Source organism: Homo sapiens, chromosome 10, assembly GCF_000001405.40.
Source record: "Homo sapiens chromosome 10, GRCh38.p14 Primary Assembly".
Lineage (NCBI taxonomy): Eukaryota > Metazoa > Chordata > Mammalia > Primates > Hominidae > Homo > Homo sapiens.
In genome coordinates this window covers 116,661,081-116,676,036 of record NC_000010.11, presented here as the reverse complement: position 1 = coordinate 116,676,036, position 14,956 = coordinate 116,661,081, and the positions used below count along the sequence as shown (strand labels likewise).

General features: G+C 48.1%; 2 protein-coding genes and 1 long non-coding RNA gene across 20 annotated transcripts in view; 2 read left to right on the top strand and 1 right to left on the bottom strand.

The window, feature by feature from the left end:
• The window catches only part of HSPA12A (heat shock protein family A (Hsp70) member 12A), a 179,556-nt gene extending 174,711 nt beyond the window's left edge, over window positions 1–4,845 (top strand). For all 6 annotated transcript variants that reach the window (XM_005269673.6, NM_001330164.2, XM_011539579.3 and 3 more), the window contains one exon: window positions 619–4,845. In XM_005269673.6, coding sequence (XP_005269730.1) covers window positions 619–1,256 — 638 coding nt within the window. In that variant the 3' untranslated portion in view covers window positions 1,257–4,845. The remainder of the gene's footprint in view (window positions 1–618) is intronic.
• HSPA12A-AS1 (HSPA12A antisense RNA 1) lies at window positions 3,299–5,982 on the bottom strand. 2 transcript variants are annotated; one of them, NR_187551.1, is made up of 3 exons: window positions 5,759–5,982; window positions 5,552–5,643; window positions 3,299–3,832 (listed from the first exon to the last, which is right to left on the bottom strand). It is a non-coding gene; the product is annotated as an HSPA12A antisense RNA 1 (long non-coding RNA). The 2 variants fall into 2 exon arrangements; NR_187550.1 differs by having other exon boundaries at window positions 5,552–5,618.
• Window positions 5,755–13,826, top strand: SPMIP5 (sperm microtubule inner protein 5). Of its 12 annotated transcripts, none has more exons than XM_047424663.1 (7): window positions 5,755–5,956; window positions 7,714–7,779; window positions 10,211–10,429; window positions 11,090–11,276; window positions 11,766–11,863; window positions 13,340–13,538; window positions 13,629–13,826. In XM_047424663.1, the coding sequence occupies exons 2-7, from the start codon at window positions 7,725–7,727 to the stop codon at window positions 13,663–13,665; spliced, it is 795 nt and encodes a 264-aa protein (XP_047280619.1). In that variant the 5' UTR covers window positions 5,755–5,956; window positions 7,714–7,724; the 3' UTR covers window positions 13,666–13,826. The 12 variants fall into 12 exon arrangements, with proteins under 12 accessions (XP_047280619.1, NP_001337859.1, XP_011537644.1 ...); NM_001350930.2 differs by adding an exon at window positions 11,986–12,153 and having other exon boundaries at window positions 13,340–13,826; XM_011539343.4 differs by lacking the exon at window positions 5,755–5,956 and adding an exon at window positions 6,071–6,657.
• Window positions 13,827–14,956: the final 1,130 nt, after the last annotated feature.

Genomic DNA, 14,956 nt, shown 5'->3' with positions numbered 1-14,956 from the left:
GTGGCAGGCCCTAGGAAATGCATATTCTTTGCTTTACTGGGACATGTTAGACATCCTCACCCTGCTAGGGGAGAAGGAACTGTTGTGTGAATCAAAGGAAGTTCTGCAAGCAAATGGAATCTGGCTATGTCATTTTCCTGCTACATTGGTGGCAGTACCCAGGGACACATAGCAAACTCACCAGGACCTCTTTCAGTATCCTGTCCCCCGCCTACCAAATCAGACTCTCTAGGAGTGGAATGGGATTTTTATGAAAATCAGAGAATTCTATTTATAACAACCTGCCTTGACTTACCCAACAGAACCACAGGTTTGGAGAGCTTTAGGAGTATTCATTTATGCAAACCAAATTCTACTTAAAATTATCACCATGTATCTGTTAAAATGCATTTCTACTTAGCAGCAGCTCTGGCTTTTATTCCGGAACATATTGGTGTGCAAACTCCCTTTCTTTAAAAGACCAGTTCTGCAAAGATTCTGTTCAAGGAGCTCAGAGTAAGCCTGCCCTCCCAGTGGCCCAAGTGGCTTTATCCGTTCCCCACAGATGCAGGCAGCCCAGTTCCCCCTTCCTTGCTGGCTTTTGGTGACAGGACATTCTCCCTGCCTCTTCCCTTCCAGGGGACCTGTTTCAGAAGCCCGAGGTGTCCACCGTCAAGTTCCTCTTTCTGGTGGGCGGCTTTGCCGAGGCGCCCCTGCTGCAGCAGGCGGTGCAGGCTGCTTTTGGGGACCAGTGCCGGATCATCATCCCCCAGGACGTGGGCCTCACCATCCTCAAGGGTGCCGTCCTCTTTGGCCTGGACCCCGCGGTCATCAAGGTGCGCCGGTCGCCGCTCACCTACGGGGTAGGCGTGCTGAACCGCTACGTGGAGGGCAAGCACCCGCCTGAGAAGCTGCTGGTGAAGGATGGCACTCGGTGGTGCACCGACGTCTTTGACAAGTTCATCTCTGCCGACCAGTCTGTGGCTCTGGGTGAGCTGGTCAAGCGTAGCTACACCCCGGCCAAGCCCTCCCAGCTGGTCATTGTCATCAACATCTACAGCTCTGAGCACGACAACGTCAGCTTCATCACTGATCCCGGGGTGAAGAAGTGTGGCACGCTCCGCCTGGATCTCACAGGGACCAGTGGCACTGCGGTGCCCGCCCGGAGGGAGATCCAGACCCTTATGCAGTTCGGGGACACCGAGATCAAAGCCACAGCCATTGATATAGCCACTTCGAAGAGTGTCAAAGTTGGGATCGACTTCTTAAATTACTAACCCTCCCGCCCCGCTGCCTGTCCCCTTGGACTCAACTTATCTGCATCTGCTGACCTCAACCTTGACTGTTCTTTCCCTAACCTTGACCCTCACCATTGCCCATGTGAATTTCAGCAGGGAAGATGAGAACAATCAGGGCTAGAAATAATTAGTGACTTTTGAGGGCACACTGGAGTCAGAAAAACAGAAATTAAGATTAAGGTTTAGGCATAGAAAATTAAAGGATCCTGGAGGAGCAGCTAGTTTTCATAGGTACAAAAGTGGTGAAATGGCCACGGAGAAGGGAATCAGTACATTTCTGCAGCAGTGGTTGCGCTGCTTTGAACAGATCTCCGTTATGTAGAATTTAGGATGCCCTATTGCTGTCTTTCTAGATTTAAAATGAGATCTTTGAACCAGGAGGAGATCTTCATCTGAGACTTGTCTTTCTAAATTTTTTGGATGGCCATCAATATAAAATGCCACCCATCTGCAGTTAATTTCTTTTCCTCATCATGTGATTAAAAGTGGTGATTCAGTGGGAACTGGGAATGTTTTTAGCTGGTGGTAGAAGGCTGCCTACACTGGGCACTGTTTTAGATTCTCATATCATTTAAACAGCAAGGAGGTTCAGGGAAGAATAACCGTAGCCTTGGGTAATCCACTAGGGCTTTTGTGAGTAGGAGAGCTGATACCTCACATTCTTAGCAGGTGAAAACTTGCCATGATGGAAACAGATAGTGAAGAGTTACTGACGTATCCCAAATTATATGCTGTGACATAAATTCCCAGCATGCCCAGCCCTGATTTCTGAGTTCATAAGTAATTCTAGTGAACCTTAGTAGGAATTCTGGGTAAGAAAATGAGGTTGCCATTGGTCTTGTTTGCATCACCAAGACCAGACATCCAGAAGAGCCCCTCACCTTGAAAAGCAGACAGATTTTAAATTAACCCCCTCCTTCCCACTCACCTTCATCTCCCTAAGAGTTTTGGCCATTTAATTCCACATTTTGAAAGGAATACATTGGTGAAATTTGGGAAGAGAATCTGTGCTATGCAATGTTTCATTAAAATCTTCAGTTTTTCAAGTCTCTCTAAAAATAATTTGTAGATCTATACTTGATGTATTAAGTCAGTTTTTTTTCACAGCGGGCCTGTGGCTCGCCTGCATCAGAATTGCCTGGGTGCGTGTTCAGAACAGGTTCCTGGATCTGAGCCCTTTTTAACTGAGGCCGACTCTTGGAGAGGGGCACCAGAATCTGCATTTGTAGTGTATACCACATCGTGGTTCAACTGAAATTGGAGAAATACTAACCTGAGATTTTGTTGAAGTTCACACACAGATCACAGCCCGCCCTCTGCAGGTGTCCCCTTTGGGCTCCTTTAGGAAGAGGGCTTCCATGAGAAGGTGACCCCATACCTTGCCCTCTTGGTCAATGGGATTGGGGCTCCACCTGGCTTGGAGATGGCCCTTTTAACCCTCACAGGAAGGGCCAGGGGAGGAAAAAAATTGCAAGAAAGCGACACCAAGAACGGAGCTGACTGAGGAACCAACTGGAGGGTCTTCACTCTCTCCTTCCCCAGTGTACAAAACCAGTTTTCTGCAACATTCAGGAGCCAAATGAGGAAAAAGAATCAAGAATCTGACTCACAGCCCATCTGATCTGTTCAAAGCTGTCTTTTCCACCTGCTGAAATTCATTAAATCACTGGAGGCATGCATAATGAATGGAGAATGAGTGAACTTCCAATGCAACTTGGATTCACAAACCCATTATCATAGCCAATATGCAGATTTTAAACAGCATTTCACATTTCATTTGACCATGTCTTCTTTTTCGCATCGCCTGCTGCAGAATTCCCTACTAGAATGTGAAACAACGAACAAACCACAGAACTTAGAGTGTGCTGGTTAGTCACATAACTTAGTAGCAGGATTGTGTATCCAGGCACAAAGGTGTCTTTGCTAATGTTCTCTTGCTACCTGCCCTGCTTCAAACGCTAAATGGTATGGGTCTTTCTTTGTTGCCAGCCATATTCTACAAATAAGACTTTTCAATATAGTTATGAGTAATATAATTTTATGTACATATAATGTTAGAATATTGTACAGAATCTTGGTTTCTACGATGCGCTTTTCTTGTTTCAAAAAGAGGAAAATGCTTGATTTTTGTTGATGATACTTTTGTTACTGTCCTTAATTTTCCATAGTTTGGTTTCTTAATTGTGCTCACTAAGCATCGATCTGTGCTGATGCCAAGCTATGGACTATGTACGCAAGACCGAGCAATAGACAGAGGTGCCTAGGGTCCAAACACACTGAACGCACGTGGACCGCCTGGATCAGGAGCCTCATCAGACCCTTCTCCATGCACATCCTTCCCAAACAGTCACAGATTCCATTGAAAGGAGCAGATTCTATCAGTTCTTCTGTGCAGACTTTAAGAGCTGAACGTTCTGGTTCTGGAAGCCATGTGACTGCGCAGAACAACCTAAGAAACCCTTTGTGTCCTGAGGGGTCGTTGACCTCTCCTTCCGGGTCGGAGCAGTCACTCTGAGGGCAAAGCGTGGTCCACTGTGTGTGATGTTTTCAGGATGCTAGGGTCAAAGAAAGAAACCAAGTGGTACATAAGCCCAGCTTTTCTGCTGGGCTAAGTGTAAGTGTGAGTAACATGGTCAAGCCCCTCTTTTTTGGGCTAATGTAAAGCCTTTCCTGCCTTGCATTAATGCTATCTCCCTGTGTACTGTTTCTCTTAAATGAGCAGATAGAAATCTGCAGTGTTGGCAGATAGGTGATGGAGAGGATGATAATTTTATCTTCTGGCCACAGAGCTGCAGCCCCAGTTGTCAGAGTCCTTAAATGAAACCCCCAAATCCATCCCTCCTTCCCTACCCCCACTGGAATATTCTAGAATAAGAGCACTGGATAAGTACACTTGAACACATTTTTCTAACCTTAGAAAATACCTACAAGGCCTGTTGTCTTGACCCATTACTCAATTGTCCCTGGCATATTATCTGATCTTCACGTTTCTTGGAAGCAGAATCATCAAGGCTTTCCTTTGTAACTGCCCTTTCCGTACACAGCAGGCATGAATAAATGCTGAGTAACAGACAAGTTACAGACAGGAGGGGAAAGAGGAGGAACCATACAACTGTTTTTGCAAAATGATGGCTGAGTCCAGATTATAGAGGTTGCCTTACCCTTAGAATGTTATTTAGACCAAGTTTAGCTTTTAGAGTCCAGGTCTGGTTAATTGCCAGGGTAGCAAAGAATCGCATGCACCAATGTAAACAGGAGTCAGAATGCATTATTAGTCAAAGATCGAATTTCACATTGTAGAGATGTATAGCTGTGATTAAGCTGCATATGTATGCTGGGAAACGGCTTGAGTGGATGGCTAATATAAAAGTTGTTGGCCATAATGCCACACCTCTCATCTGCTTGAAATATGGACCAGTATTCTAAAATATCAGCTACTGGGGTCTCATTCACTACAAGATAAATTCAAACTTCACAGAACTTTGCAGCAGTTCACCACCAGACGGGACTGTGTCTGCAAACTCTCTTGTCTTCACAGACGCCTAATAAAGCAAAACTCTGAATCTCATGTGGCCCAGATTTTTTTTCCCCCCATCCTGGGTTTGCAAACTGCATGATGGACACGTCAGTACTGATCTCCCTCTCTACCCCATCTCAGGTGGTGGAGAGAGAGTTTCAGTTTTTTCCAGGTGCTGTAAGTTTTCTTAAGTTATTCTAACAAGACTAGGCCCTTTGTTTGCTGGGAACCAAGGCCCCATCGATGGGCACAGAGCCCCTTTTCTCTGGAAGAAAGTGGTCTAGCCAGAGGGAGGGCAGGTAAGCAGAGTGACCACTGCCAATGCCACTGCACCCCAGTGTAAGTCATTAAAACATGCAGAAGGCCTGGCTGGGCTCTTGCCCCTGGGCATCCCAGCCGTCACGTGAAACTGGCTGTGTCCAGAGCCTACACCTGAGTCGCCCTCCACAGTTGGCTCTGAAAGCTTCCTGATGGCCCGAGGTATGTTCTAAATGGGGTGATAAAAGAGAGGTATAAATGGTGGTCGGCTCCACCAGCCTTCATTTGCAGTTCAATTTTCAGAAAAGTAGAGGTAGGGAAGGCCGGGAGGTGCAGCAAACAAGCGTGTCCTGGAAGTAGCGCAGCTTCAGCGTCATTTTCTGTAAAGGGAGCAGCCAGCACATGCTGGTTCATAGGGCGGACATCTTGGTGGGTTTCAATTCAATGAGAGGAAGTCTGGGTGTCCCTCCAAGAGTGATTAGAAAGAAGGATGACTCACCTTCCCCAGGTGGACAGCCACTCCTCTCTGCCTTCACCTGTCCCGGCCACCTGAAAATCTGCCCCTCCTAACAGGAGACAGGGAGGGAGGGGCTGCCAGGCCCAGGAAGCTCCTGTATTGGAGGCGCCAGGGCCCCCAGGCCTCGCCTCCTCCCGCCCACTGCCGGCCCCGCCCCCTGTTCCCGCCCACCCGCTTCCCCGGCCAGACCTGCAGACCCAGGCGCCGCAGTGTCTACACCCGCAAAAACGCCCGCTTTGACTTAGAGCCCTCCGCATATCCTTCCCCTGGCTGGGGCAGCCAAGGCGCGGAGGACAGCTCCGAGGCCAGATGTTTACTGCGCAGATGCCCGACTTTACACCGGGGTCCGGGCTGTGCCGGGCGCTGGGGGAAGCGCCCACCTTCCAGGTGGGACCGCGGGAAGGGTGGGGGAGGGGCAGGCTGGCGGTGGTGGGGCCTTTGTGCTCCACCGGGTGAGCGCACAAAGGCCTGGTGGAAGGCAGGGATCCTGGGCGGCCGGGCAGAGGCCAAGTGGGCACCGGATAGCGCCAGCCCCGCCCAGGTGAGCGCTGAGGTGGGATTGGAAGAGGGTGGCTAGGAGGGGCCCTACTTTCTACCCACTCCTAGCCCCCTTTCTCAGGACACCGCCTTTCTTCCCACCCTCCTCCCTGCCCACCTCCTCCAGGCAGGCTTATACCCCAGCTGATGCTTTTGGGCAACATATCCTGTCCCTGAGAGTTTAGAGGTCATCTGTTCGCACCCCCTTTCACTCTGGAACCCTGAAACCAGTTACCTAACCTCTCTGTGCCTTATTTTTCACATTTATAAAATGGGGGTTCCAACAGGAACTCATTCTTAGGGAAGCTGTGGGGATTAAAGGAGAATGCGGTTCTGCTGCAACCACATGGGGATAGCCAGTGTTCCCTGTCTGTTGCCTTTTTAAATTGGGGAATGGGTATAATATAGCATTTATATCATGGGGCTGTTGAGAGGATTAAACAAGCGTGGAAAGCTTTCAGAAAAGTAAGCAGGTGGTCAGTATGGGTGGGACATGGTCTCACAGCCAGGTCTGTCTGACTCCAGGCCCAGTGCTTCCTCCCAGGAGTCAGGTACGTGATGCCAGGGGTTAGAGTGGCCTAGACGCGGCACAGTCCTCACTGCTGTCAGCCTGGCGGGGGCTGAACTGTCTTAACAATCCCCATCATTGCTGACTAAGCCATGACTGTGGCCCTCTCCTCCACCCTGAATCCTCTTCTTCCAGCCTCAAAGGCATTTCTTTAAAGAGATGAACTGGCTCAGCAGGGCAGGACTTGGCAAGGCCTCAGCCCACTTGGGGGGAATGACCAGCGATACCCAAAGAGGGAAGGTGTCTTATTGCAGAAACAGCATCCACATAAACTGATGTTTCAGTGGAGCCCCCTGAAGCAGAGGGTGGCCTCTGCTTACCCTCCTTGGACTCCATGTCTGCCTTTTGGGACTTCCTGATTCCTTCAAGCCAGAATTTCTTCTCCCTTGTTTGTGTGTGTGTGTGTGTGTGTGTGTGTGTGTGTGTGTGCATGTGTGTGCCGGCGGGTGGGGGGAGGCTTCTGAGCATTGCAGGATGTTCAGTAGCATCCCATCCCCCACTTCTGACAGCCAAATATGCCTCTGGACATTGCCAGATGTTCCAGGGGTAATGGTGGGGGCTGGCAAAAATCACCACTGCAACCTGATTTCACCTGGATCAAGAAGGAGGTCTGGGGGTGTGCGGGCCTCATCTCTCTCCTCACCTGAGGCTCATGAACCTAACACAGGGGCTTCTGGGCTTGCTCAGAAGCTTTGCATTCCCAGCCTCTATCATGTTTCACAGCCATAGTATGAGTACAGTTCACAATTGTTGGATGGCTGGAGGTCGGATGGAGGGGAGAGGAGACCCTGGTAGGTGTGATCTACACACTGTTATCCAAGTTAACATAAAAGGTGATGGGCCCTTGGTAATAGGTCATTGGTTTGTGACTGAAGCCAGCTGTGTCTCTGGCTTTGGGTAAGGTGGTAGTGCTGCCTCTCAGCCCCAACTCCTGGCAGTCATTCTTCCACTCCCAAGAGCTTGTGCACACTCAATAGTAATTCCTTAAGGCAGTGACTTTTGATGAGACCGTTTCATTCCCTCTTCCCTCCACTAACAGAGAGCGAAATCATGGAGCCTTCCAAGACCTTCATGAGAAACCTGCCAATCACACCAGGCTATAGCGGTAAGTGTGGACGTACCCTGCAGCTGTGCCTGGCAGGGGAACCCGGGTCCTGGTCACTGTCCCTGCCTTGACCCACTGTCTGTGTCTGTGCAGCCAACTGGACCAGTCTAGGCGCTCTAGCTTCTCAGACATGCATTGAGAGCATTCCATCGCTGAAGATGGCTGATGGCCGGGTTCTGAGGGGCAGAACTTAGACCACACGTCCCAGAACATGGCCTGGTATGCAGAGGAAGCACTTAATGCCTGTTGAATGAATTTGGACCAGGATAGACACAATGTGATGAGGATAGACACAATGTGATGAGGATAGACACATGAATAAGTAGAGGCCCTGTTCTCCCCAAGTTGGTTTTCTCAAGTCCTCCACAAAGGTTATTCTTGTGCTCCCATCCTTTCCTGCATCCCCTAAAGGAAGGCTGGCCAACTGCCCTGGTCTACCTGGGACTGCCTTTGTCCTGGGACTGCCTGGGACTTTCCTTAACACTGAAAATCTTGCATTTGGGAAACTCCTCAGTCCTTGGCAAACCAGGACGATTGGTTGCCCTACCTAGAGGCTATTCCTCCTCAGGCTTCTGGGCTACTGAGAACTTACTAAGTCATATCCCTGTGGGTGACAAACCCAGTGGTCCCCACAGACCCTTGGCTCTCCCATACAGCCGTTCTCAGGAGGAATAGTACTTGGGTGATATTCCAGGGTTGCCCAACCTCACTCTGGTCCTAATGGCTGGTTGAGAATAGGCTTTGGGTTCTGACAAGCTGAGGTTCGAATCTCTGTTTGGTCACTGTCGATGAGACTGTAAGTAACTTGCCTCTCTGTGGTAAGTACAACATTCTATAAAATGGATGTATTTGTTTTCTAGGACCACTGCAACAAATTACCACAAACTATGTGGTTTAAAGTGATGGAAATGCATTCCCTCACAGTTCTGAGGCCAGACGTCTGAAATCGAGGTGCCCGCAGGGCCATGCTCTTTCTGAAGGCGCTAGGGAAGGATCCCACCTTTGCTTCTTCCAGCTTCTGGTGGCCCCAGTGTTCTTGGCTTGTGGCAGCATCTCTCCAGTCACTCTCTTCATCCTCACACGGCATTTCCCCCTTTGTCTCTGTGTCACAAGTCTCTCTCTTCTTTCCTCTATAAGGACATCAGTCATCAGATTTAGGACCCACCCTAAATCCGGGATGATCTCATTTTTAGGCCCTTAACTTAATTACATCTGAGAAGTCCCTATTTGTAGATAAATGCACATTCACAGGTACCAGGGGTTAGGACTTGCATATATCTATTTGGAGGATACAGTTCAACCCACTACATGGGATACCATAAGATTGTTGTGAGGATTAAAGGAGCCAGCATACATAACCTATTTTAAATGTCTTGGTCCTTAGCGAGACTCGATAAAGGTAGTTCGTATGCTTATGTCTGTGCATATATGCACTAATATAAAACCTAGGCAGACCAAAGTCGGCCCTGATGGCAGGGAAACCACTGTGGCAAAGCCCCTAGGGTCTTCATAATGTTAGGATATCTTTTAATCATCCAAGGGTTGGGGAGTCTGGGCGATGCATGGAAGGCTTCCAACACTGTCAAGATTAGTTTAGTAATTAGGTTCTTCCAGAGGGGGTTATTGTAGGGCTCTGGGGGTGAGGATTGCTACTTTCAACTCTGAAGCCAGGTTTTGTTTTCCTGGAGACCATGGCAAAAATGTTGGGTTTCCATAAGGAGAGAGATTTATTTATTTATTTTGCAGTTTGAAACTAAGTTCTTAACCAGTTTTCCTCATTTGTTCTTCAAAAAAAAAAAAAATGGTTTTATTGTGACAATATTATAGTACTTAGGATTCAGCCTCCAGTTTAAGTAAATAGTTGTGTTTTACCCATACTAATTGTAATGATTATATGTTACTTGGTGGGAAATGGTGAAAAATTGTGCTAGGGGTGGGTCTTGCAGATAATGAATTTACCTTTTTGTGTAACAGGGCTCTACTTTTAATAAGCCTGCAATTTCCTGATGGTCCGGCAAGAAAGATCCCAAATTGCATTTGGGAAGTGTCGAGGAAAATAAGCTTTCTCTTTAAAAAGATGAATAATTTCAATTACTCCTTAGACTATCATTTTGGCCCATTAAATGCTTTCCCCATTTTCCGTCAGGCTGACATCAGGGGCTTTGCTATTCAAAGAGTATTACTGTCATCGCCTTTGTTGAAATGGGCCTTCCCTCCCCAGCTCCAAGGTCATTTTTTGTGGCCTTGGGAGGGCCCAGCCGCAGTGGAAACAACAGCACTGCTTGTATTAATGGCCTTTGGAAAAACGTAGTGCTGTTGGCTGAGGAAGAAATGCCAAAGGGTGGGCTGAAATGCTGGGGAGTTTAGGCGGGCTCTGAATTCCTTGCTGGCCAGTCTTGCTGAAGGCTGTGATTCCATTCGGCTCTTGCAGGCTTTGTGCCATTCCTCAGCTGCCAAGGAATGTCCAAGGAGGATGACATGAACCACTGTGTGAAAACCTTCCAGGAGAAAACACAGCGCTATAAAGAACAGCTGCGGGAATTGTGCTGCGCAGTGGCCACTGCCCCGAAACTGAAACCTGTCAACTCCGAGGAGACGGTCCTGCAGGCCCTGCACCAGTACAATCTGCAGTACCACCCCCTGATCCTGGGTAGCAGCGCCCTGAAACCATTTCCCCTCACCCCTGGTCACCCCTGCAGATTCTCATAGGCCAGCTGAGCTGCCCCATAGCACCCAGAATCCCGCACCGTTCCAAATCCCAGGGGTCAGCACCAAATGCAAAGGCTCCATTTCTTAAAATGAGAAAGACACATTTCTTTTTCTTTCTTTCTTTTTCTTTTTTTTTTTTTTTTTGAGACGGAGTCTCACTCTGTTGCCTAGGCTGGAGTGCAGTGGTGTGATCTCGGCTCACTGCAACCTCTGCCTCCTGGGTTCAAGCGATTCTCCTGCCTCAGCCTCAGCCTCAGCCAAGTAGCTGAGACTACAGGTGCATGCCACCATGCCTGGCTAATTTTTGTATTTTTAGTAGAGACGGGGTTTCACCATGTTGCCGAGGGTGGTCTCAAATTCCTGACCTCAGGTGATCTGCCTGCCTCAGCCTCCCAAAGTGCTGGGATTACAGGCATGAGCCACAGAGGCTGGCCAGAAAGAAACATTTCTAGGGGAGGGGGCACAGTCCTGGTTAGGGAAGAGGGTGCTGGTCTGAGAACTAGGAGACCCTAGGCAAGTCACAAGTTTTCAGGCCTCAGCTTCTGGGTCAGTGGAAAACATTTTTTAGTTGCTTTCTCTGTGCCATGGTGTCTTTTTACAGAATGCAAATATGTAAAGAAACCTCTCCAGGAGCCCCCGATCCCTGGCTGGGCAGGCTACCTGCCGAGAGCCAAGGTCACTGAATTTGGCTGTGGCACGAGATACACTGTCATGGCCAAAAACTGCTACAAGGACTTCCTGGAGATCACGGAGAGGGCCAAGAAGGCACATCTGAAACCATATGAAGAGTGAGTCTGGCTTGGGTCCGTACCCCAGGCACAAGGTCAAAGGGAGAAGTGCAAACCCAGGATGGGGGTTTACCAGATGTCCCCATCCCAGCACTAGGACTATTTGTGTGTGATTTGTCTTAGAGAAGGTGCCTCATTTGTAGTTTCAGGGCTTCCCCAGTAGGCAGGTGCCCTCTGCTCCCAACCTGTGCTCAGCATTCCCCAGCAGCTCTACCTGTGGTCTTTGCTGGTTTGCAGGGAGGGGATGGGAGTAAAAACCAGCAGGGCTACCATCCTGGCAGTGGCTTAAGGCCCAAGGGTGCTGAGTGGCCTCAGCTTTCTCTTCTGCGAAATGAGGAGGGTGATCTTTACCTTTAGAATAAATTGTAAAGAAATAACATACCATGTTCATATATTTACTCATATTTATGTATTGTATTTTATTCTATTTATTATTATTCTATTCTTAATAAAAGGTCCATAACTTTGTGACTTCTATTCTTGTTTTAGAATATATGGAGTTAGCTCCACAAAAACTTCTGCTCCGTCTCCAAAAGTTTTGCAGCATGAAGAGCTGCTGCCAAAATATCCCGATTTTTCTATTCCAGGTGAGGAGAAATGTCTCTTTCCTTCCTACTACCGTTTTAAAAAGGGGATGAAATGTTTGCAGTGGCCTTTCTGCTTAGCTGGGCCAGCTCCCTGCAACTCACACGGACGGTTCCTCTCCTAGATGGAAGCTGCCCTGCCCTTGGAAGGCCCCTGAGAGAGGACCCCAAAACTCCGCTGACATGTGGCTGTGCTCAGAGGCCAAGTATACCATGCAGTGGGAAGATGTATCTAGAGCCACTGTCCTCCGCAAAGTATGCAGAAGGCTAGAAGCGCAGAGTCTCCCAAGGAGGTGAACTTTAAGTGGGGCTTCCAAAACCTGCCATTCTCATGTTGGAATCACGCCCAGTGAGCAATAAAGAAATTTAGTAACAAGAATTTTTTAACTGCCGCCTGCATCCTGAGTGGTTGACGGTTGCATGTCATTAATGATAAAGACCGTTTTTTGTCATGTGGGAATAAAGAGGCTGCTTCTCCGCATGCTAAAGTTTCTTGTGCGGGTTTTCTCCAGGTTATGTTGACCATGAGCTAGGGTTCCTAACCCCCGAGGTAACACTGCAGCCAGGCCAGGATCTTCACTGAAGACCTAGCCCAACCCTCTAACCAAACAGTCCCTGGGTCCTGGCATGTTCCTGACAGCGGCGCAGACACCACGCCCACCCCAGCCCTGGTTTTCCAGAATCCCAGTCCCCAGGAGGGTCCAGTTGGCAGATACCAGCTATATTGGTGTGATAGGGCTGCCTCCACAAAGTCCCACAAACTGGGTGGCTTAAGACAACAGAAATTTATTGTCTCACAGTTCTGGAGGCTGGAAGTCCAAAACTGGGGTGTTAGCAGGGCCAGCTCCCTCTGAAACCCGTGGGGAATCCTTACTCATCTATTCTTAGCTTGCTGTGTTTTGCAGCCACGTTGGCATTTCTTGCTACTAACTCCAGGCCCCCTGGGTGCCTCTCTGCCTTCACACGGCCATCTTCTTTTTTTTTTTTTTTTTTTTGAGACAGAATCTAGCTCTGTCACCCAGGCTGGAGTGCAGTGGCGTGATCTTGGCTTACTGCAAGCTCTGCTTCCTGGGTTCACGCCATTCTCCTGCCTCAGCCTCCCAAGTAGCTGGGACTACAGGCGCCCACCACCACGCCCGGCTGATTTTTTGTATTTTTAGTAGAGATGGGGTTTCACTGTGTTGGCCAGGATGGCCTTGATCTCCTGACCTCGTGATCCGCCTGCCTCGGCCTCCCAAAGTGCTGGGATTACAGGTGTGAGCCACTGTGCCCAGCCACACGGCCGTCTTCTTACAAGGACACCAGTCGCACTGGATCAGGAGCATGCCCTACTTCACTGTGACCTCATTGTAACTCATTATACCTGCAATGACTCTAGTTCCAAATAAGTCACATAAAGTACGGGGACTAGGACTTTCATGTTTTTTTTGAGGGACATAGTTCAAGCCGTAACACTGGATAACATCATCTTGCCACCAGCAGGCACCCTGACCTCCCTCAGCAACCACCCGTATGCAGAAGAAATAACAGCTCCTGGGACAATGAGACCGTTGTCATCCACTCAGAAATGTGCAGAGCCACACGAGGCAGCAAGCTGGGCCTCGGAGGTTTTTTCCAAGGCAAGAATTTTCACCTGGACATGCTGGGCTCCCATGATTCCATGGGTAGAAGTCAGAAGGTCAGAGAACTTTGATGAGAAAAAAAGTTACATCATTGTTTTCACTAACCTCCAGGCGAAATTTAGTATTTCCTTCCTTGATGAATGCAGGCAACAAACCACTGCAGGACCTGTCACCTTGGCCTGAGAGCAGTCACAGATGTTTTTGTATCACGTGGCTCTGGCTGCAAACAGCTGGAATGATGTTAAAGCTCATCTCTGTAATCATGGTGGTTATTACAGTGACTATATCTACTCTCTCACATAGTGTTATTCAATATAAGAATAAAGAAATGGCTGTTTTATAAATTTGTTCTTTTTAATATTTTGATAATATTTCAATATTGTTTCCATTGTAATCTTATGTATTTTGCTTTAAACATTTGGAAATACTGTTCTGACAAGAGGCCCACAGGTTTCACTAGACAGCAGTGGGTCCCCACCACAAGAATGGTTAAGAACCTTTGTCCAGGAAAACAGCCACGAATGTGTGTAAAGGGAGATTGTCACACAAAACCAGATAACAACACCTTCCCCACAGGGTTCAGGATTATGGTACATCTCATTATTTTTAAATGATATGATGGAAAAATGGTGTTGTATAAAAATACTGAGGATCCCATACATGAAATAGGCAGGTCATAAAACTGTACAGTAACACCAGACCTGTGTGTGTGTGTCCCTCATACACACAAACTCATACACACTATAATCCTGCTTTCTGTTTTTAAAAAAGGGTGGGGGGGGGCACTAACCTATAATGCTAGCAGTGGTCATTTGGATGATGGTCCTGTTGGTTATTTTTGTTTATTTATGCTTTTTTCAATTTTCCATAGCCAATAGGTATTGTTTTTATAATCAAGAAAAAAAAGTCATTAAAAAATCGCTATTTGAATTAAAAGATATTTTAATATTTTAGAGATTAAATGTTTAAAGAAAGGTCAGGTGCAGTGGTTCACACCTGTAATCCCAGCACTTTGGGAGGCTGAGGCAGGTGGATCACCTGAGGTCAGGAGTTTGAGACCAGCCCGGCCAACATGGTGAAACCCCCGTCTCTACTAAAAATACAAAAATTAGCCGGGCGTTGTGGCTCATGCCTGTAGTCCCAGCAACTCAGGAGGCTGAGGTGGGAGGAGCTCTTGAACCCGGGAGGCAGAGGTTGCAGTAAGCCAAGATCACACCACGGCACTCCAGTCTGAGCACAAGAGTGAGACTCCGTCTCAAAAAAAAAAAAAATGTTCAAAGAAAAAAGCCACATCTCAATAGAAGGTAGCTGGATTCCCTTCCAAGGGCTGAGGCAAAGCTCAGTGAACTGTCAGGATTTTTTCCCAGTGTTCTGAAAACCTGAAAGAGTTAAAACCCACGATCTTGGAAAGGAAACGTGGAGCTAGATCTCCCCACTGCCGGGATTGGGGGGTGGCCCAGCCTGCTGCGTCTGT

Bases quoted from the DNA above. Each gene is read 5' to 3' on its own strand.
- SPMIP5 (XM_011539340.4), top strand. From the start codon at position 6,600: ATGGTCTCACAGCCAGGTCTGTCTGACTCCAGGCCCAGTGCTTCCTCC. The intron at 10,430-11,089 runs GTAGCAGCGCCC...GTCTTTTTACAG, and splicing joins GTACCACCCCCTGATCCTGG to AATGCAAATATGTAAAGAAA. The intron at 11,277-11,765 runs GTGAGTCTGGCT...TTCTTGTTTTAG, and splicing joins CATCTGAAACCATATGAAGA to AATATATGGAGTTAGCTCCA.